The sequence below is a fragment of the Homo sapiens genome, chromosome 6, assembly GCF_000001405.40.
Source record: "Homo sapiens chromosome 6, GRCh38.p14 Primary Assembly".
Classification (NCBI taxonomy): Eukaryota; Metazoa; Chordata; class Mammalia; order Primates; family Hominidae; genus Homo; species Homo sapiens.
Window position 1 is genome coordinate 165,241,802 of NC_000006.12, and position 23,849 is coordinate 165,265,650.

Sequence of the window (23,849 nt, forward strand, 5' to 3'; positions counted from 1 at the left end):
GTATGAAGATCATGAGGGAGGTAAATCTATCATTGTCCATAAGCATTTATTTTTAAATAGCTGAAACTTATTTTCTTTGACATCTCTTTAATGTCATTAAATTTTTGTCTTTTGAATTCAACTCAGAAATATAGAAAGCTTAAGCCTTGGTTTATTGTTCATGTACATTACAGATAAAATTTGTGTCTAATTCTGGCTTACATTTTTGTCAGAGTCATTTTTTTTAAATTGCAGCAAATTTGGAAAATATAGAAAATTAAGAAGAAAAAAAAATTTACTTATAAGCCATTGATTGAGTCAGAGATGAGAGCCTTACTTTCCAATAATTACATATTTTTAAAACCATGATTTATAGTTGCTTCTCAATATTTTATTGTATTAAAAAATAGAATTGATTTAATACACAGCTTAAAAATGTTTTGTTGCATTTCAACACCATCCTTGCAATGTAAGTATGCCCATCTCTGATCGTTGTCATAAAAGAAATTCCTACAATTGAATTTACAGTCAAAGCTGTGCATGTTTGAATATATATTGCAAATTGCTCTCCAGAAAATGTGTACTAATTTACATGGTCACCAGCAACATTTGAACATGCTCTTTTTAACACCTTACTAGTTTGCTTAATAAGATATCTTATATACTTATTGCTGCTATAGCTCCAAACTAAGTATATTTACACCTATACTTGGAATGGCAAATGCATCGCACATGCCACCCCACTCCTCACAGAAGGAGAGATTTCTAATCAAGCACAAACAAAATCATCTGCTGTTGAAATGGAGCTCACCTTCCAAATCCTTCCCAAGGTGACTGATTCTCTAGACAGCCACTCCCAATCAGTGTGAGTTGGTGCTAGGATGAAACTATTCACCATCCCTGGTATTTGAGTCCTCAGTACTTCTCATGTGAGCTGCTCCCACTCCATTGGGAGATGAAGCTGTGAGTTGATGCAGCATGAATCAAGCTGCGTTCACCCGCTGTCTGAACAACTTCCTCCCAATAGATCCCCACTACTTCACCTGAAAACCCAGAGCTACATGGGACTTCAGGTTTTTCACTGCACTGCCCATTCAGACCTGGCCTCCTTCACTGGCGCTCCATGCCCAGCTCCATTTGTTTAGTTGACAACACTACCCCTGACTTAGTTACTATCACTACCAGCACTTGACCTTTTAGATAGAAATTAACTCTACCAGTTCACATTAGATATTATCTAGGATGAATGGCCTGATGTATTTATGTTTTAGGAAAGGATTCCAAGAACTCCTAGAAATAATAACTAATTACCAGATCTGTAATGTTTAGTCCCTGCTTGCGTGGGTCTGGGAGATGGGAATACAGTAAGTGCCTAAGCTGTCCCTCGTCTGACTTAAGAACCGTCCTCTACAGGACTGCTGTCTATCCGGTCTGCCCTCTCTGGAACTGACTATAAGGACTGTTTGTGTCTTCCTGCTTGAGGTACATCTCCTGGTTGAGACAGACAAGACAGACACACGTACAGGTATAATAGGCATATGACTACACTACGTGTATCGTACTAACTGCATCCAACATATTTGTAAGTACTTATACACATGCAAGCATAATTACCCAATTATGAAGCATCCGTAATGAATACCCTGGCATTAACTAGCAGTTCTTTCTTGTAAAAATAGGAAAAAAAAAAATAAACACACAACTCCTAGGGCTTAGGGATTATGGCCCAGGTCCTCTCTCTAGCAGATGCTTCTAGTTCTACAACGTCCTCTGGCTTCTCATCAGCTGTGAATCCCTTGAGGCTTTGCATGCCAGACAGTGCTGCTAGCGGATTCACGCCAGTCCAAGATGGGTCACTTTCTTATGTTGGTGGGAATATAGCTCTAGAGAGCATTTGATCTTTGTGCCATGGGCACCAGCCACTCTGCAACCTTGAGTATCTACGCAGTAACATCTCTCTCAACTTTTTCACGAATTCCTCAAGACTCTAGTTTAATTGCAAAAAGTTTGGAAGCTTCAGCTTCAGCCACGCCTTTCTCCATTGTCCTAGAACTCCAGGAACTGCTTCTGTCCAAAGAGGTCATGAAGTAGGGAGGGCGTGGAGGGGAGGTGTTTTTTCGCACAGGCTCGCATAGTACCAGACTGTGTTTGTGCTGCTAATGCCACTGCTTCCTGCTGTTGAAGTCGGGTCTGATGTTATCCACACACTTGTCAGCCCAGGATGATCCTACTGGTCCATAAGGCCCCTCCAGGGAGGAAAGCCCCATCTCTTGAGATGCTCACTCTGAGGTCTCAACAGTTAAGCCCAATTTCCTGGTGCTGGCAGGAGCTCCTTCTGGTTCCATGCAGAGCATTTCTCAGAGCAAAAGTGAGCCCTGGAAGGACAGGCCAACATCAGACATCAAGCCCTCACTCCACAGAGGTAATGCGAGCTTCTCTTTCCTCTCTAGTGACCATACTCCAAGAAGTAGAACATCTTTTCTTTTAAATCCTCAAAAGCTAAAGTATTTGGCTGCACACCTGTTCACAGTCAATTGAAACAACTTGCCTTTCTCTTCCCTCCTAAGAAAAATCTATTCTCATCCCTAATAGGGGGTTTCAGTCCAGGCTACATGTCAAGGATCTGGCATTCTCTCTGTAAATATAAGAAAAGTACAAATATAACCTTTGCAAGTGTGTCCCTTAGGTCAGTCACCCCACTACATTAGCATTAAATTTTAGTCTTTCAGATGCAAATGTAATTGTTTCTATTATCTGTCGTTTTAGATAATTCACTCATTTGTTGCTCCCAAATTTGTAAAATATGGCCTCGTTAGAAGGTCTGTAAAGGTCTCCAGAGAAAACACATCCTGAAGAATTTCTTCTACGAATCACTGTGGTGCTGTTCTAAGAAGTGGTATCTTTTTGTCTGTAACCTCTCTGACTTGCGGTGACAGGAGTAGCAACTTCTTAGTCGAATAGCAGTTTTTCTCACTGGTATTTCTTAAAGCCACGTGCTATCAGATACCCACTTCCTGGCTGCAGGAGCTGAGGTTAAAAATTGCAGCTCATCGCTTTATTTTTTGTTTGTCTTTGTTGTGTGTTGTTGTTGTTTACTCTTTCAACATCCCCTTCCCTCTTTCATATGAGCTGGAGATGAATAACCTATTACCACGCAGTAGTTTCTGGAGTGGGGGCAGCACTGGCTGGCAGAGAGGAGCTGGGCTGCAGTTGCTCTCTGTTCCAGAGCCAGCAGGAGGAATAAGGCCCTACTATCTTCCACCCTGTCCCTTCCGCTGCCCTCCCCTCTTCTTGGGGGTGGCAGCAGGTGTGAAGGAAAGAACTTTGGGAACAGCAAGCCAGCGATCGATGCATTCCAAAACAGAGTTTCCATGAGAATGCAGCCTCCTGAGGCAGGTACTGAAGTCCTAGGGACAACAGAAGTTCAGTGTCTATTGAATAAAGTTAGGATTGCGTGCATCTCAAAAATTCTCATTTTACAAACAGTAGTGTCTGCTGAGGCCTGCCTGTCTCTCCACAGATGTTTCCTGGGGAATTTGCTTGGTGTTTGACGTGAAAAAAATTGGAGTCTCACAGAAGCTCTCTGTGCACAGATCTTCTAATGAACAAGGCATGGCCAGGAGCCCCGGTCGATTGGAAGGCCACTGCTTCAGATACCAGCACACAGTGAAGTTTGCCAGGCGCAACATCAAACAATTGCTGTTAGGATCATAACAATATTCTAATATTGTTAGGATCTAGGGTGGAACATTTTTAAGTGGTATAAAGCAGGCTGCCCTGCCATCTTGTGGCTAACACAGAGAAGAATTTCCTGTTCAAAATGGATACAAACCTGATCTTTATAGTTTGAGTGTCCATATTTCAAATGAAATGTTCCCAAGAATCAGAAGAGAGTGGCAGAGGCCTTCCACTTGGCCCAATTCAACCACCCCCATGGTGCTCATCAGACACTTACCTGGAACTCGCAGTAAAAATTCATGAGACACATTCTGTTCATCAGATGTACTGATTCACATATTTCCAGTGTATATAGTTCAACAGCTTTTGACAAATGCAAACAAAAATGTGACCACCACTACAAATAACAGTTTCCTTCACCTCAAAAATTCCCCTCATGCCTTTGGCCATAAACTCTCACTCCCTGTGACAACACCCCTAACTTCTGGCACATTTTGTTTCCTGTATGACTGCTCTAGAATTTTCTATAAGTTGAATCATACAATATTTTCTCTTTGCTTCCTGACTTCCTTTACTCACCATAATGACTGTAAGATTTATCCATGTTGTTGTATCTTAAACGTTTATAATATTTCCTTGTATAGATACATCACAATCCTCATCCACTGAGGACATTTGGGTTGTTACAATTTGGGGCAAATATGAAAAAGTCATTCTGAATATTTGCGTATGAGTCTTTGTGAGGACATTCATTTTTCTTCATTTCTGTTGGCAAATACCTATGAAGAAATTCACACGGTCATCTGAACATATACCTGTATATGATAACTTTTTACGAAGCTGCCACATCTTTTTCAAAGTGGTTATATCATTTTATATTCCCCCAGCAACGTACAACTATTCCTGTTGCACCTCATCCATGGCAACACTTGGTAATATCAGTCTATATCATTTTAGCTGATAAGTACGTGTGCTCTAATGTCTCACTCTCAGTTTAATTTGCATTCCCCTGGTTAATAATGAGAAGCACCATTTCATATGTGCATTGGCTCTATGTATATATAATATATATTAAATTTATGTATACATGTGCCTGCAATATTACCTTTTATGAGGTTTGTTCAAATCCTTTGCCCGTTATTTAATTTGCTAAATTTTCTTGTTATTATTGATTTCTTGGACTTGTTTACATATTCTGAATATTAGTCCTTTGTGAGACATCTGTGTTGAGAGTCTTCTTCTCCCAGTCTGTAGATTGCCATTTTATTTTAAACATTTAGGATTGTTATGTCATCTCTATGAACTGACTCCTTCATTGTTAGGAAATGCTTGTTATTAATTCCAGCAACAATCCTTATTTAAAATTAGGTTTCATCTTATATTAACATGGCCACTCCCAGCTTTCTTTTTATTTTTTTAATTATATTTTAAGTTCTAGGATACATGTGCACAACATGCAGGTTTGATACATAGGTATACATGTGCCATGTTGGTTTGCTGCACTCATCAACTCATCATTTACATTAGGTATTTCTCCTAATGCTATCCCTCCCCATGACAGGCCCTGATGTGTGATGTTCCCCTCCCTGTGTCCAAGTGTTTTCATTGTTCAGTTCCCAGCTATGAGTGAGAACATGTGGTGTTTGGTTTTCTGTCCTTGTGAGTTTGCTGAGAATGATGGTTTCCAGCTTTATCCGTGTCCCTGCAAAAGACATGAACTCATCTTTTTTATGGCTGTATAGTATTCCATGGTGTATATGTGCCACATTTTCTTAATCCAGTCTATTACTGATGGACATCTGGGTTGGTTCCAAGTCTTTGCTGTTGTGAATAATGCCGCAATAAACATACATGTGCATGTGTCTTTATAGTAGCATAATTTATAAGCCTTTGGGTATACACCCAGTAATGGGATTGCTGGATCAAATAGTAATTCTAGTTCTAGATCCTTGAGGAATCTCCACACTGTCTTCCACAATGGTTGAACTAATTTACACTCCCACCAACAGTGTAAAAGCATTCCTATTTCTCCACATCCTCTCCAGCATCTGTTGTTTCCTGACTTTTTAATGATTGCCATTCTAACTGGCGTGAGGTGGTATCTCATTATAGTTTAGGCAATACCATTCAGGACACAGGCATGGGCAAGGACTTCATGACTAAAACACCAAAAGCAATGGCAACAAAAGCCAAAATAGACAAATGGGTTCTAATTAAACTAAAGAGCTTCTGCACAGCAAAAGAAACTACCATCAGCGTGAACAGGCAACCTACAGAATGGGAGAAAATCTTTGCAATCTACCCATCTGACAAAAGGCTAATATCCAGAATTTACAAAGAACTCAAACAAATTTACAAGAAAAAAACAAACAACCCCATCAGAAAGTGGGCAAAGGATATGAACAGACACTTCTCAAAAGAAGACATTTATGCAGCCAACAGACACATGAAAAAATGCTCATCATCACTGGCCATCAGAGAAATGCAAATCAAATCCCAGCTTTCTTTTTAAAGTGTTTGCATGGGATGTCGTCTTCCCATGTCTGTGCATTTAAAGGGGGTCACTGGTAGATGACATTTGGTTGAGTCTTGCTCTATTTTATGTCTTTCAGTTGGAATGTTTGGGCCATATACATTTATTGTATTTTCTTTTTTGATGTAGTCAGGTTTACATCTACCATCCTGCTATTGACTTTATAATTGTCCCACATGTTCTTTGTTGCTGTTTTGCTGTTTTCTGTGCCTTTATGGGATTTATATTTTTTACCTTCATGTTTTACATTTTTAGTGGTGTCTCTATGGAATAAAATATACACCTTTATATAATCACACTCTACCTTCAGATAATACGATGCCACTTCGCTTACAGTGTAAAAGCCCTGAACGCAATGTGCTTCCACTTCCCTCCTATTCTTTGAGCTCTTGTGCTTTTGTACTTCTGCAAATATGATAAATTCCACAATATAGTGCTACTATTTTTGCTTTAAACAGTTATCTTTTAAAGAGGAAAATACAAGAGAAAACGAAATGTTTTTTACTTAGCCAAACTGTCACTATTTCCAGTGTTCCTTGTTCCTTTATATAGAAGCAATTTCCATCTACTGTCACTTTCTTGACCGAAAGAACTTCCTTATACATTTCATATAGTGCAGCTGAGCAATAATGAGTACTTTTGTTTTTGTGTTTTTGAAAATATTTTTACTTTACATAGAATACTAGATTGACAGGGTTATTTTTTCCTTAGCATTATCAGTATTTTTAAGATGCTAACTGTCTCTGGCTTGCATACTTTCTGTCGCTAAGTCTGTAACGGTTCATATATTTTGTTCTCTATGTCTTTTTCCCTCCAGCTCCTCATAAGATTTTCTCTTCCTCATTTATGTCAGGCAATGTTTTTAGCTTCATAAATCTGTGAATTTACAGCTTTCCTCATATTTTAACAAATTTTTACCACTAGTATTAGTATTATTTTATTTATTTATTTTTTTGAGATGGCGTCTTGCTCTGTCACCCAGGCTGGAGTGTAGTAGCACAATCTCGGCTCACTGCAACCTCCGCCTCCCAGGTTCAAGTGATTCTCCTGCCTCAGCCTCCCGAGTAGCTGGGACTACAGACATGCACCACCACACCAGGCTAATTTTTGTATTTTGAGTAGAGACAGGGTGTCACCATGTTGGCCAGGCTGGTCTCGAACTCCTGACCTCAGGTGATTTGCCCACCTCTGCCTCCCAAAGTGTTGGGATTACAGGTTTGAGCCACCACACCCGGCCACCATTATTTCTTTGACTATCTTTTCTCCCCTCATTTCCTCTGGTCCTTCAATTTTATGGATGTTAGACTGCTCGCTACAATCGTCCCACACTGAGGTTCTGTTAAGGTTTCTTGTCTTAGTCTATTTCTGTGTCTGCTTCTATTTCAATATTTTCTATTGCTCATCATCAAGTTTATTGGTGTTTCATTTTGTTTACTATGCTGTCATTTCATCCACTGGCACACTCTTTTTCATCTTTATAAATAACATTGGGTTCCTTTTTATGCTTTTTATTTCTCTCAGTGTTGTACTTTAATTTTATGAACATGTCTGTAATATTTATAATACCTATTTTAAGGTCCTTGTCATTTCTGAACCTGTGTTAACTGGTTTTTCTCTTTTAGGTCACTGTTTGCTGTTTCTTTACATGCTGATAACTTTCTACAGGATTCTGGACATTGTGAATGTTACATTATTATGTGTTTGGATTGTGTTTTCTCCCTTTTGGATGGGTTTTGTTTCCTCATTTGTTTGTTGTTATATTTTGCTCTGTTTTGTTTTGTTTTCTTTTAACGGACAATTGTAAATCCAGTTGAGCCTCTTAAGTTTTATGATTCAGGAACGTCAGCTCTAGAGTAGTCTTTACTTTTGGGCAATTTAGCCCTACTTCTATGGTGGCACTGCTATATCAAGTGGTTGCCAATGGATTCAAAAGTGTTTATACTCAGCTGTGTGAGGTTTAGCTGTCTCCTGGCCCCAGCCCTGTGTGGGAGATGAGAACCACTCGCCTTGCAGCTCCCCAGCTGTTGCTCTTCTTGTGGCTCCATAGAGTCCCACGCTACCCAGGTGGGCAGACTGGTACTCAGCACAAGCTCAAAGAGTCCCTGAGGTATGTTCCTGGAGCTGGTTCTCTGCATAACTCCCAGCAATTCTGTATTGCATCCTGCAAATTTTAGCAACTTTTGTCTCCCCACCTACCAGTCACTGTGTCTTCAGCTTTGTAAGGTTATGGACTCGTGACCACCCTCTCTGCTCTAAGGACCATCTCGCTAGTTCCTTTCTCTCAGGGAACATCATACTACACTGTTGTTGACTATCTGAAAGCAGTTATTTCATAATTTTGTCCAAGTTTTTATAGCAGATGGGGTAAATCTAACTCCAGATTATCCATCAATTGATAAAAGTAGAATTTCCCCCAGAAGTTATCTTTTAATATTCAGTGAAAATCATTGTGTATTAGCTCCCTGTGGCACTGCAATGAATTTCCACAATCTTAGTTTAAAACAATGAAAATTGACTACCTACTGGTTCTGGAAGCCAGAGTCTGACACGAAGGAGCTGGCAAGCCTATATTCCTGCGGAGGCTTCAAGGGGGATTCTCTTATTTGCCCCTTCGAGCTTCTGGGGTATATTGGCCTTCCTTGACTTGTGCCTGCCTCACATGGGGAAAGTTCTGAAAACCAGAATTTTCCACTTAGATTCCAGTCTAACCTCCTAATTTAAAAATATGAATATTGAAGCCCAAAAATATGAAGTAGACATTCTCATTTGGAAAGCAGATGAAATGCACAGATTCCCAAACCATACCATCAGAAACTCTGATTCAGTAACTTTGGACTAAGACGGGGGAATCTGAATTTTCCAAAATCCAAAAAAGATCCTGATGCAAGCAGCCAGTGAATCACACTGAGAAAGAGCATTCAAAGAGCTCTCACCTGGTCAACAAACAAGGTAAACAACCAAGTCCACAAACCAAAGGAACAAGATACAACCTCCAAGTAAAGAGCTTGTTAAACCTGCAAGTTCACTACCAATTCTTCTAGATTTTGCTACATTTTTTCGATTCCAAGAGCAGGAAATGATACAATGTTTTTTATAATACTTAATTCTAGCCTCTCTGGCAACATTATCGTTAGCGGTTTTGCTTGAATTCATACTGAGATGGACCCCGCCTTCTCTAAAGCTTGACTCCCCAGCAAGCTGATAAAATGGGAAGTCACTGGCCCGTATTTGAGGGTCTTTTGAACCTATAAACTCACCAAGAAATGAGGAAACTCTAGTTACAAGCTGGTGAGCACTTTCTTTGTGAAAATTGCCATCTGTAGGCTGATGAGGTTCTCTGAAATATCAACACACTCCTAGGTTCCCTACTGACGACAACTATAAAGTTGTCCCCAACACTTATTCTGGTCAGGGGCTTCACAGGGCATATGTTCAGATATTCTAATGGCTTTAAAGAGAGGAAAGTTGGGGCCAGGCATGGTGGCTCACGCCTGTAATCCCAGCACTTTGGGAGGCTGAGGCGGGCAGATTACGAGGTCAGGAGATCGAGACCATCCTGGCTAACACGGTGAAACCCCGTCTCTACTAATAATACAAAAAATTAGCCGGGCCTGGTGGCAGGCGCCTGTAGTCCCAGCTACTCGGGAGGCTGAGGCAGGAGAATGGTGTGAACCCAGAAGACGAGGCTTGCAATGAGCCGAGATGCCACCATTGCACTCCAGCCTGGGTGACAGAGTGAGACTCTGTCTCAAAAAAAAAAAAAGGAATGTTGTCAATGTGGGAGTTATCCTCTTGGGAGCTCTTTAAGGATCATTGCATTGCAGCCTTGGAAATCAACTCTAGAGAGACATATGACATTTGAGAATGTAGTAGACTCATAGTCCTAGAGACAGAGGCAGGGCACAATACCTAGGAAGAACTCCAGGGAGAGACCTTGACCAAGCAGGTGGGAAACTGAGAGAGTATGGACCAGTGCATAAGGGTATTTAATGGGGGGCAGGGTGGAGCACACAAGCAAAAGGCTTGAAGGGATTTTACTGGTGTGTTTGAGTGTCACTAGGTCACAACCAGGGGAGGACAGGATGGGAAGGCTGTGATGGTGACCAGCCTTGTCCCACTGGTGCACCTGGTCTCCTGGGCCCGCTGCTTACAGCTTGCTTGTGGTGATGTTGAGGCATCAGGAAAATAGACGATTTTAAAATCTACAGTACAAGAGGAGACAAATAAAATGTTCTTAATTCAGTAACTTGTCCTTCTTGAAATCTTATTTTTTGTTTTGTATTCCATAGATCAATAGAAAACAAGGGTGGGGGAGGGGGAGAAAAGTGGTATGCAATGATGTTTAAAATGGTTAAAGTATAATATCTATGTGAAAGTTTAAATGACTGACATTTTGAGCCAAGGAGCAGCTGGAAAATGATTTTTGCCTGTGTGTCCTCAGAGCCAAAAACCATCAGTCAATTTAATCAATCTAAATGAATTTTCAAAAGTCAAACTTGTTGTATTAGTCTGTTCTCACACTGCTATGAAGAAATACCCTAGAATGGGTAATTTATAAAGAAAAGAGGTTTAATTGACTCACAGTTCTGCATGGCTGGGGAGGCCTCAGGAAACTTACAATCATGGCAGAAGGTGCCTCTTCACAGGGTGGCAAGAGAGAGAATGAATACAAGCAGAGGAAATGCCAGTTGCTTATAAAACCATCAGATCTTCTGAGAACTCACTCACTATCATGAGAACAGCATGGGGGAACCACCCTCCCTGATTCAGTTACCTCCACCTGGTCCCCCTTGACACATGGCAATTATGTGGATTACAAATCAAGATGAGATTTAGGTGGGGACACAAAGCCTAACCGTATCTCCCCTTAAAGGGAAAACCCCAGTGAATACTAAAGTTTCTATTTGAACAGGTTAAATATTATAAAAACACAAAAAAACTAACATTAAAAGATGAATGTGCAGAGTGATGTAAGAAATCTTTCTTTTATCCATTGAAGAAAATGAAAAATATACAAAAATTTGGTTTGAAATCTTGTCATTTACATTTGAATCTAAAGAAGGTAATGTGGACTAAGCCATATTCATCACAGTGTGTAGCATATAGAAGGGTCTTAACTATTTGAACAACTCTATTGGGATAGACATGTTTTTCTGGAATGGACTCAGCTTTTAATAAAACTGTTTTATTATTATTATTACAGAATAAATGATGTAAAGAATCCATGAATATTAAAATAAGTTGCTGGGTGAAATTTAATATTTCTGCTGAATTCCCTAAACTCCTAACCTGACAAAATTAATAGCAATAAATGTACCAACTCACTTATATAAATATGTACTGCATTTCATTTACACGTGAGACTTAAGCCAATTTAAATAAAAATACATTGATTTGTCAAAAGTAAACAATAACTTAGGGGAAAACTTTTATCAAAAGTGTCATGTAGTTTACAGACATCTCATTATCTTCTATGGATACTCAATTTCTCTTAAATCCTCTGTTCTGTTCCACCCCAAGCAGTTACTTTTATTATCCATTATCTCCATTTGTGTCACTTCAGTAGGTCACCACAAATGTATCACAGGCGAATTGAACAGAAATATTCATCTGAGATGAATATTTCACCCTTTCACTATAATGATTTCTTTTTATCAAGTGAAGTGTCTCCATAGAAAGTCTTGAGTGAAAAATGGTAAGTGTAAATGGAATGCAAAATGGAAAATACTTTCAGCTATTTTTAAATGACTGGATATGAAAATAAAAACATCAAGCTGGAAGCAGGGGGTAGGCAGCATGGTTGGTGTATGTGGGAATGGCACAGAAGAGTAAGCCCAAAAGAGCCACTATGGAAGCAGCTACAACCTACAGTTCTCAGCAGTGATGTTTCGCAGGAGCAGATCAACCCAACCTGTGGATCCCAAGGGACACACTTGCCTGAGCTTTTCATTGATGTGTCCCCCTGAATTCCTAAGGGCTGTTACAAAAGCCTGAGAAGAGGTTCTGGAGGCTTCATATTCATCAAGAATACAAGCAATTCTCAACAAATCAGAAATCTGTAAGTAAACAGAATTCCAAATCAATGCTAGATAATATTTAGACTTTTGCATGATGCAAATGGCTTGTCAAGATTTTCCAACACCTCAAGAATGTCTTTGTATAAATTACTTACTCTTTTGACAAAGTATATCAGAAGCCATTAGTGCAGATTTAACACTGGCTATATGACATAAGGAAGGAGGTCCTCTTCTACCTAGGATGCAGAAAACCTGGAAAGTGTTCCTGCCATCCTAGCTAAGAAATAAAGCTAGGTAACTTCCAAATGTAACTTTTTTCTTAACCCATCACAGAGCTAGTTCACAGAGCAAGTAAGTAGCCTAAAATCGAAGAAACCACATGGCTCTCCAAGGACAGGTGAGATAGAGTACTGACTCACCTGTAGCAGAGCACAGGAAGAAGTGATGCTGGAAACCACACTAGCAGACAGGAAAAATTCAGCAAAAAATTGTAAATGTTCCTAACAGTCGTGTGTGGGCAGGCATGAGATCACAGAGCCTCCAGAAGCCATGGACACAAGAGGAGGTAACACTGACTCAAACACTTTTCTTTACATATTTCCACTAGGTGCTCACAGAAAGGCTTCGGGTAGGGTTGGTTGCCAAAGAAGACCCTCTGCAGTGGTACAGCCTTGAGGAGGGGTTGGTTTACTCTTGCAAAAAGGCACAAAGTAGCTCCTGGACTTTTCTTTCCTATGAAAAAAAGGCTTTATGCCATTAGCGGAGGAGAAAAACGAGTCACATCCAATATATTTATGATGATCCATTGCAGCTGGGGAAAGTGTAAAAGAAAAAAGTCCTCTATCATGGGAAAAGTGAAGAAAAAACTCCTGGGTCCAATACCCTAAGCCAATACAATGGATGTCTTCTATCATTGGAGGAGAAAAAGAAAATTCCTTTCATACAAGACCTTCCACAGTCACTGAGAAAGACCTCCAAAACATAAGGCATGCCTAAGGCTGAGGCTAATCCAGGACAATAAGGGGATGCCCCTCTCCTATCTCTATCACCAGGCTAGCAAGCACTGAGAAACAAATGACACAGTCTATCCCTGAAACAGGGACAAGAGAATGGAGAGAGATATTTATCTATTCCAAAAAGATATATTTAAGCCCTAACGCCAGTACATTTGAATGTGACCTCACTCAGAAATAGGATCTTTGGAGATGTGATCAAGTTGAGGTTACTGCATTCAAATGGGCTCTAATCCAATGACTGGTGTCTGTCTAAGATGGGAAAAATTTGGATGCAGACACAGAGTGAAGCACATCTTGTGAGGACACAGAGACATAGAAGACAGCCACGTGAAGGTGGAGACAGAGACTGGGACAATGCTGCCACAGGCCAAGGAATGCCTGGGGCTATAAGAAGCTAGAGGAGGCACGGAGGGTTCTTCCTTGGAGATATGGAAGAAACATGGCTGTGCTGACACCTTGATTTCAAACATCTAGTCTCCAGAACTGGGAGAGAATAAATTTCTGTTGTTGTAAGCTACCACTTTGTGGTAATTTTTTACAGTAGCCATGGGAAACTAGTAACACCCTTCCCCTGACACATATAAGACATAAGTATAAAGGAAAGACTGAAAGCTGATGATGGGGAAGAAACACTGAGAAAAGCCCTTCAGCATACCAACCACCACCATAAACACAAGGTAACGTAGAGGAATTTGAAGCCAGTGGTGCAGTGAATGTAACCAGAACCATAACAAAATGTAAATCCAGCTTAGCCACTGGCTACATTGACTCCAGGGCCCATACTAAAAGCCTTTTAGATGAAAAGGATGGACCATTTACAAGCATCAATACCATTTACCTCAGTCTTTAGTGGTCTACAAATGATGTTCAGCATTTAATCAAAAATTAGAGGACACACATTCAAGCTTTAACATATCATCTTCAAACTGCTGAAAATCAGAAATAAATCTTAAAGGCTACCAGAAAAAAGGACTCATGACCTACAGAAGAACAACAAGAATTACGAAAGATTTCTTATCAGAAACTATGCATAGTAGAATATGATGTCTTTTTTGCCATATCATCCTTATTTCAATTATTTATCATTGTTGTTCTTGCTCTCAGATTGTCTCCCAAATATCTATAAATTTCATCATGCATTGAACATTGAGCGTTTTTCTCTCTTGGCCCTTTCACATAAAATGTGTATGCCATTTCAACTTTTAAGATTCATGACACCTAAACAACAGACTATTTCATTCTGCCTCACGTTCTCCACATGTGTATTCTCCACAGGCACTAATACAGTGCTTTACACATAGTAGACATCAGTAAATGTGTCTGGAGTTTAATTGAAATTGTTCTTGTCTTATATTGATTGACTTTTATTTCATCCCAATATTTTTCCTTCCTTAGTCAATCTTTTCATAGTATTTAATCATATTCAATGTATGTTCATTTTCACTTAGATTACTGAAGTCATCTAAGAAAGTTCTGCAACATGTTGTTTAATTAGAAAATATTCTAGTTTTTTTAATCAATCAAATTTGCTGAGGTTTACCTTTTTACTAGGAAAAAATAAGTTGCACATTTCAATATATTTTGTTCAATTATGGGGTTTTGCATGAAGAGTTTGTAATTAAGCTATACTAGAAAATAAAAACCTAACTAACCATTTCAGAAAATTTTATCTGAAGCGTCTGCATTTTGGCACCCTCTTAAGTCCATGCACTAGAGGACTAATTGTTGATAAGTTACAGAATTTTTTTTAATTTGGTTTGATCAAGGTTACAAGATTATTTCAACTTAAAGAGTGTTATTATAAATAATGAACACCCATACTTTGACAACTAATTCATTCCTTTATCAAATATTTATTAAATACCACATTGTCACATGCCAGGTACACACCAAGGCATTTGAAATACATCAGCAAGTAAAACAAACAAACAAACAAACAAAGCATGTTCTCAAGAAGCTTACATTCTAGCAGAAAGAAGGTAGAAAATAAGCAGGTAAATTATATAGTGTGTTGGGAGATGATAAATACTCAAGGGAAAGAAAATAAAGCAAGAGAAAGCGGATGAGAGGAGGAAGGTCACATAGCAGAATGAAAATGGGAGAATAGAGCAGAGATATAAGGAATTTGTTGGAGAAAAACAATCAACAGATTAAATTGAATAATCCAAATTTAGAAATCTGTTAATATGTGACTACTGTATCTCTTTGATCTTTTCTAATGATTATTAACTGTGTTCAGAATTTATGGTTATTTTACACTTCAATTTTTATATTCAACTTAAAAAGTGTTATCATAAATAATTAGATTTATAAATAAATAAATAATCTACAACCACATATTTGCTGTTAGGCAAAATTCTAGTATGCAAAAATGTATTTATGAATATCTTCACAACAGTGACAAGAATTTCACTGGAGTTGACAAGAATTTCAACTCCAATATGTATGGAATTCCATTGTCTTTTCCTGCAGATAATTAGAAAAGGGAAACCCGAGGATTGAGTGTAGAGATGGAACATAAAGCAGATGGCACAACAGCAGTCAAGGTTTTCACAATAAAGATTTAGGAGGAGAAAATGAGGTGAAGAAGTCATATGATGAGACCTCTTGCTCTGTTGAGAAGGAGAATGTATTAGTCCATTCTCACGCTGCTATAAAGAAATACCTGAGACTGGGTAATTTATAAAGAAAAGAGATTTAATTGGCTCATGGTTCTGCAGGCTACACAGGAAGCAAGATGGCTTCTGGGGCCTCAGGAAACTTTCAATCATAGCAGAAGGCAAAGGGGAAGCAGACAAGTCTTACATGGCTGGAGCACAAGGAAGACAGAGCTGGGGAGGTGCTCCACACTTTCAGACAACCAGATCTCATGGTAACTCACTCACTATCATGCAAACAGCATCAAAGGGGAAATCTCCCTACACGATCCCATCACCTCCCATCAGGCACCACCTCCAACATTAGGGATTACAATTTAACATGAAATTTGGGTGGCAACACAAACCTAAACCATTTTTGTTCCACCCCTGATCCCTCCCAAATCTCATGTTTTTCTAACATTGCAAAATACCATCATGCCTTCCCAACAGTCCCCCAAAGTCTTAACTTATTCCAGCATTAACTGAAAAGTCCAAAGCCCAACGTCTTATCTGAGACAAGGCAATCTCTTCCATCTATGAGCCTATAAAGTCAAAAACAAGTTAGTTACTTCCAAGACACAATAGGGATATAGGTATATAGGTATTGGGTAAATACTCCCTTTCCAAAATGGATAAATCAGCCAAAAGAAAGGGGCTACAGGCACCATGCAAGACTGAAACCCAGCAGGACTGTCATTAAATCTTAAAGCTCCAAAATAGTCTCCCATGATTCCATGTCTCACATTCAGACCACTCTGATGCAAGGGGTGGGCTCCCAATGCCTTGGGCAGCCCCACCCCTGTGATTTTGCAGGGCTCAGCCCCCACAGCTGCTCTCAAGGGCTGGCATTTAGTGTCTGTGGCTTTTTCAGGCACAGGGTGCAAGCTGTCAGTGTATCTACTATTCTGGGGTCTGGAGGAAGGTGGCCCTCCTCTCACAGCTCCATTAGGCAGTGCCCCAGTGGGTACTCTGTGTGGAGGTTCCAACCTCATATTTCCCCTCCGCACTGTCCTAGTAGAGGCTCTTTATAAGGGCTCTGCCTCTGCAGCAGGCTTCTGCCTGGACATCTAGGCTTTTCCATATGTCCTCTAAAATCTAGGCAGAGAATTCCAAGCCTCAACTCTCACACTCTGTGTACCCACAGGCTTCACACCATGTGGAAGCTACCAAGGCTTACAGCTTGCATCCTTTGAGCAACCCTAGTACCTGGGCTTCTTTGAGCTATGGCTGGAGCTGGAGTGGCTGAGATGCAGGGAGCAGTGCCCCAAGGCTGCACAGGGGAGTGGGGCCCTGGGTCTTGCTCATGAAACCATTCTTCCCTCCTAGGCCTCCAGACCTTTCATTGGAGGGGCTTCCATGAAGGTCTCTGAAATGCCTTCAGGGCCTTTTTCCCATTGTCTTGGCTATTAGTACCTGCCTTCCTTCTAGTTATGCAGATTTCTGTAGCCTACTTGAAGTCCTCCCCTGAAAGTGGGTTTTCCTTTTCTACCACATGGCCAGGCTACAAATTTTCCAAACTTTTACACTCTGCTCCCCATTTGAATATAAGTTTTAGTTTTATGTCATTTCTTTGCTCACAAATATGAGCATAGGCTGCTAGAAGCAGCCAGGCCCCATCTTGAACACTTTGCTGCTTAGACATTTCTTCCACCAGATACCCTAAATCATCACCCTCAACTTCAAAGTTCTACAGAGCCCTTGGGCAGGGACACAATGCCTCCAACTTCTCTGCTATTGTATAACAAAAGTTACTTTTGTTCCAGTTCCCAATAAGTTCCTCATCCCCATTTGAGACCACCTCAGTTTGGACTTCATTGTCTAAATTACTATTAGCATTTTGGTCACAACAATTTAACAAGTCTCTAGAAAGTTCCAAACTTTCCCTCATCTTCTTATCTTCCTATCTCCTTCTGAGCCCTCCACACTCTTCCTACCTCTGCCCATTACCCTGTTCCACAGTTACTTCCACATTTTCAGGTATCTTTACAGCAATACCCCTCTCCTGGTACCAATTTTCTATAATAGTCCATTCTTGCATTGCTATAAATAAATAACCCGAGAATGGGTAATTTACTTAAAAAAAAGAGGTTTAATTGGCTGATGGTTTTGTAAAAAAGAGGTTTAATTGGCTGATGGTTCTGCAGGCTCTACAGGAAACATGCTGGGAAGGCCTAAGAAAACTTATTATGCAATCATGGCCGAAGACAAAGGGGAATCAGGTACGTCTTACATTGCCAGAGCAGGAGGAAGAGAGAGAGGGGGAGGTGCTACACACTTTTCAAAAAACAGATCTCAGGATAACTTACCCACTATCACAAGAACAGCACCAAAGGGGAAATCTGCCCCCATTAGCCAATCATCTCCCACCAACCATCACCTCCAACATTGGGATTACAATTTGATATGCAATTTGGGCAGGGACACAGACCACCATATCAAAAGAAGCTAAGAAATGTGTAAAAAAAATACATAATTGTCTTATTTTAAATATCTGTGAACATGTCTGTCTAGAGCAAACCCACCACTGGCTCATGTCCACCAACATGGAAAAGAAACCTGCACCAATGAACTGAGCTGAGGCCAAGGCCTTAGTGTTGAAGCTAGTGGCTCTTATCATAGGAAGAATGAAGTACACCTACTAGTTCTTTTACCCCAGCTTTATTAAAGTATATAACAGACAAATTAAAATTGTATTCACAGTCACGCATCACATAAGGATGCTTCAAAGACAGACCATAAGATTATAATAGAACTGAAAACTTTCTAGCCTCCAGTACTGTACTAAGATTTCAGTGCAACATATTAACTGTTCTGTGTTTGGATATGTCTACGTACACAAATACTTTGTGTTACAACTGCCTACAGTATTCAGTGCAGTAACATGCTATACAGGTGTGTAGCCTAACAGCAATAGGCTATACCATAGAGCCTAGGTGTGTAGTAGGCTATGACATTTAGGTTTGTGTCAGTACAATCTATGATGATTGCACAATGACAAAATTGCCTACCAATGCATTTTTTAGAATGTATCCCTATTGCTAAGCAATGCATAACTGAATTTGGTGTACAATGTGATGTCTTGATATATGTGCATACATTGTAAATTGACTAAATTAAGCTTGAATATATCCATCGCCTCATATATTTATCTTTTTTTGTGGTAAGAACACTTAAGATCTGCCTTCTTGGCAATTTTTAAGTATACATTATTAACAATGGACACCATGCTGAAAAATAAGACCTCCAGAACATAGTCCTCCTGTCTACCTAAAACTTTGTACCCTTTTATTAACACCTCCCCATCTCCCACCCTGTCCTCTGGCAACCATATTTTACTTTGTGCATCTATGAGTTTGACTTTCTTAGATTCCATATGTAAGTGAGATCATGTGACATTTGTGTTTCTGTGTTGGACTTATTTTATCCAACATAATGTCTTTCATGTTCATCTGTGTTATCACAAATAACTGGATTTCATTATTTTCCAAGGCTGAATGGTATTCCATCATTTATATAGACCACATTTTCTTTATTCATTTATCTCTTGATAGATACTTGATAGATATAGATACCTCTTGAAGACACTGATTTTGTTTCATTGGGATATATACCTAGGAGTGGAATTGCTGGATCATATGGTAGTTCTATTTTCAGTTTTTTGAGAAACCTCCACGCTGTTCTCCATAGTGGTTGTGCCAACAGTGTATCTCCTGGCTCTCGTCGTCATGCAATGTTGAAGAACACAGACTCTGGAGCCAGACCCATCTCACACTCATGAACACTATGAATTCAGCCATGTTGTTGGCGTCACAGTGCTTGCTCTAGTGTTCTTTCTGTAAGATGAGAATGACAATGGTACCTACTCTTATGGGAGGTATGAGGATTAAGCAGATTAACTTACATGAGGCACTTAGAGCATCAGAATAGGTGTTCCCAAGTTCACGGTGCCCTTCACTGTTTCAGGCATGGTGGACAGAGTGGACAAAACAGAGTTAAATCCTGGAACTCTTGGAGCTGACATTCAAGCAAGGGGAAACAGGCAAAAAACTAAATAAATAAGTAAAATATATAGATTATTACATAATAGATATGTTTTGGGGAAGAATTAAGCAGGCATGTTGGATAGCAGAGGTGCGGTTGTGATTTTGAATAAGGTAGTCATGGAAGGCACCTCTGAGCAAACGCTCAGCTCAGTCCTCAAGAGAGGGCCTGCAGATTCTAGGGAGGGGCAGGGCAGTGTCCTGAGGCCCAAGTGTGGCAGAATGTCTGGGCACCTTAGAAAGGCCACTTTCCTTGGAGTGAAATCAATGAGGGGACAGTGGCAGGAGGAAGGGCCACAGAGCCTTCAGTGTAGGAGCCCTGGGGAGCCTGGAGGCACTGTAAGAAATTTGGATGGTGATATCATCTGGCTCTGTATTCCCATCAAAATCTTATCTTGAATTGTAATTGGAATTGTAATCCCCACGTGTTGGGGGAAGGTCCTCATGGGAAGTGATTAGATCGTGGGGTCAGTTCCCCCATGCTGTTCTCATGATAGTGAGTGATTTCTCACGAGATCTGATGGTTTTATAGGGGCTTTTCCCCTCTTTGCTCTACACACTTCTCTCTCCTGCCGCCATGTGAAGAAGTACACATTTGCTTCCCCTTCTGCCATGACTGTAAGTTTCCTGAGGCCTTCCCAGCCCTACAGAACTGTGAGCCAATTAAACCTCTTTCCTTTATAAATTACTCAGTCTCGGGCAGTTCTTCATAGCAGCATGAAAATGGACTAATATAGCTGGTCTCTGAGGCAGTGGGTGTCATGGGGTGGCCTCAAGTTCTAGGAAGACACACAGGGTGTTGAACTTGGGGGAACAAAGGAAAGAAGCAGGGGACTGAAGGAGGTGGCCTGTACTCCAGGCAAAATACACTGATGGCTCAGCCTGCAGTAGTGCCTTGAATGGCAGTGAAGTTCTGAAGCTTCTCTGAAGATAAAGCAAATGGAGCTGTGTTTAGCAGGGGAAGGTAACATTAGTATCCATCATAGCTGTCTTGATGAATTCCTATCACAGAAGATGAGCAGAGGTGGTGGGCAGAGAGAGTTAGCAACCAGGCTACTTCTGACCATAGCCATAAGGCATTTTGCTGGCATGGTTGCTCATTCTCGAATCCTGCAGAGGTAAATGATCTGTAGGTCTGTGCTCCATGACATTACCTATGCATACGGGAAAATATATTCACTAAAAGTTTAATTAACATATTTCATATAGTTTGCAAAGTATTAACATTTTCTCATAGTAGAGAGACCTGGGAACATACAATAAGTCAATAAGGCAAACACCTGACTGTGGCTGGGCAGGCTGGAGAGCAGCTGTGGCACCCAGCCTGAGTCTGCAACAGAATTCTCTAAAGCCCAACCAACAATGCGCCTCTCACTGAAGCAATCCACCCAGAAAGAAGTGTGGGATTTGTATTACTGCATCCTTAGTCAAGCAGATATCATTTGGATTCCAATTCTGGGCTTCAGTTTCAGTGAAATGTGTAAAGATGGGAGGGACTCTGGGATGCGAATCCTTTCAGAATTGCTACTTCTCAGGGATCCTCATCCAGAAAGACAATTAAAAATAGAAACTCATCCTGGGCAACATAGCAAGACTCTGTCTCTACAAAAATGAAAAAATTAGTTGGGCATGGTGGTGTACCCTGTAGTCCCACCTACTCAGGAGGCTGAGGTAGGAGGAAAACTTGAGCCTGGGAGGTCGAGGCTGCAGTGAGCCATGATTGTGCCACTGCACTCCAGCCTGGGGGATAGGGTGAGATCCATCTCAAATAAAAAAACTAAAAATTAATAAAAAATTAAAACTTATTTAAACGGCAGCAAACATGCTGTAGGTTAGATATTTAGAACAATGTTTCTAGAGAGAGGTGAACATATGTCCAAAAGAAATATTACTTTTCTTGGTGAAATTTAAGAATTTCTGAGGGTGTGGTGGAAGAAGGGATACAAATACCAAAATCAGAATATTCCTCTTGGTTAGTTTCAGGACCGATCCACACAGATGCAGAAAGTCAAGCTTGATAACAGGCAGGAAAAAACATGCTTCTGAGAACCCTCCATATAGGGTGACAGAAGGCAGCGCAGAGTCTGCGGCCAGAGGCCAAGCTGAACCAGGCAGGAGTCAGCGTCACTGTGCTCTCTGTTGAGCAATAAATACACTCTGCTCTAGGTGTGCTCCTTTTCAAGGAAGCTAATATATAAATCTGAATTTCAAACATATGTCAAATAATTTCTTCATATTTTAAAATCTCATTCTTTTTTGTAGGAATAATTACAGTCTTGAGTTAAAACAGCTCTACACAGTGTAGGCAACTCCGGACAATTCCTGTATTTTATCAATGTTTGTTTCCCCAGCACTGGCCTGCACACAGTCAGCACTCAGTCAAGTTTTATGAATAAATGCTTGAGTGCATGAAATATTAACAATGTTCTTTCTGATCAGATTCTTGGGTGTGAGGAACGGAAATCCATCTGAACTGGCCTAAGCAAACAAAGGAAGGCTCTGCTGGCCAGAACTCAGACATCCAAGGCAGGGGCCATGTGAACTCAGCCTGGTGGGGTCAGGAACCAACTTCCACCACTCAGAGGCCACATGGCATGTCCATCCCTTCCTTTCCTGCTTCTCATGGGCTCTCCTTCTTCACTGTAGGTGCAGATATGGCCAGCACCTACCCAGGTCCCTCCCCTAACCCTGGATGCCATCTGCATCTTGGCGGGCAGTTTCCACACTCTCCCCCTGTCCTGTGCCTCTCTGCCTGAGAGCTTTCCCAGCCACAGAGGCTTGCAGGCTCATGCAGGGGGATGGGAGTGATGTTGCACCCCCAGGAGCACTTCCTTACCTCCCCAGCCAGTGGAAGACAGGCATTGGTTGGATAATTGTCTTGACTTCTGCTCTGCATGACATGGTCATTTGGGGATGTCTTACATAGTCTCTTGAGGTGCCCCAGGGGATCACTGCAGTTATTGGTGTCTTCAGAAGAACAGTCTCATCAGACTTGATCTTCAATTCGTTATCTTGAGTTGTCTTTACCATCGTTTCCAGTGTTGAAATAGGGAGACTTGAAGCATTGAGGCACCAGAACAGAGGCAAAGTCTCACGCGGCTCAGTTTTCTCCCGAGACCCAGAGTCCAGCCAGGCACACAGCTGGGGCCGGAAGGTCACATGTATCCGCTTTTGCTTCACTGATGGGAAGTTTCCATCAAACACCTGGGGTTCTTCCTTGTACTCTGGATATTCTGCCAGTGAGAGGCACCTTAGCTCAAAAGTCATGTGATTCACACGCCAAGGACACTTGAAAGTGAGTGAGTTAAATGAGGACAAGACACACCGGGGACTGTTGTGGGGTGGGGGGAGGGGGGAGGGATAGCATTAGGAGATATACCTAATGCTAAATGACGAGTTAATGGGTGCAGCACACCAACATGGCACATGTATACATATGTAACAAACCTGCACGTTGTGCACATGTACCCTAAAACTTAAAGTATAATAATAATAAAATTTAAAAAAAATAAAATAAAAATAAATTTTTTAAAAAAGTCATTTATAGCCTCGCACATCAATAAAGGAAATACAGTGGTCAAACAGGCTTATTAGAAATGTGAATAGTGGTGTTCTAAGAAAGAATAGCTAATATTTACATTTCTGAAGCAATTAGATGATAAATGTTCGTCCATTTTACTAGAGTATAAACCAATTTTATATGTGTGCAAAATCCTTGATATTGGAAGAAATCAATAAGAGATCAGTTTTACTTTGCTACTAAAAGAAACTTTTACCACAATTTTATCATTTCTGCCAAAAATTCTAAGTTCAGTATGTGTTGAAAGCACAGGAAAATGTGTAGCAAAGCATTGTCAGGAGCAGAGGGTAAACCTGAATTACCTTCAATGACCCAAGAGGATTTGAAATGGAAAAGACAGTGAAGCAAATAATTACCTTCAAATAGA

At 40.5% G+C, this 23,849-nt stretch overlaps 1 long non-coding RNA gene across 1 annotated transcript; it reads right to left on the reverse strand.

Annotated features, from left to right (window-relative positions):
* Window positions 1-18,504: 18,504 nt before the first annotated feature.
* LOC124901500 (uncharacterized) lies at window positions 18,505-23,233 on the reverse strand. Its single transcript, XR_007059933.1, has 2 exons — window positions 22,739-23,233; window positions 18,505-21,056 (listed from the first exon to the last, which is right to left on the reverse strand). It is a non-coding gene; the product is annotated as an uncharacterized LOC124901500 (long non-coding RNA).
* Between the last annotated feature and the right edge of the window lie 616 nt (window positions 23,234-23,849).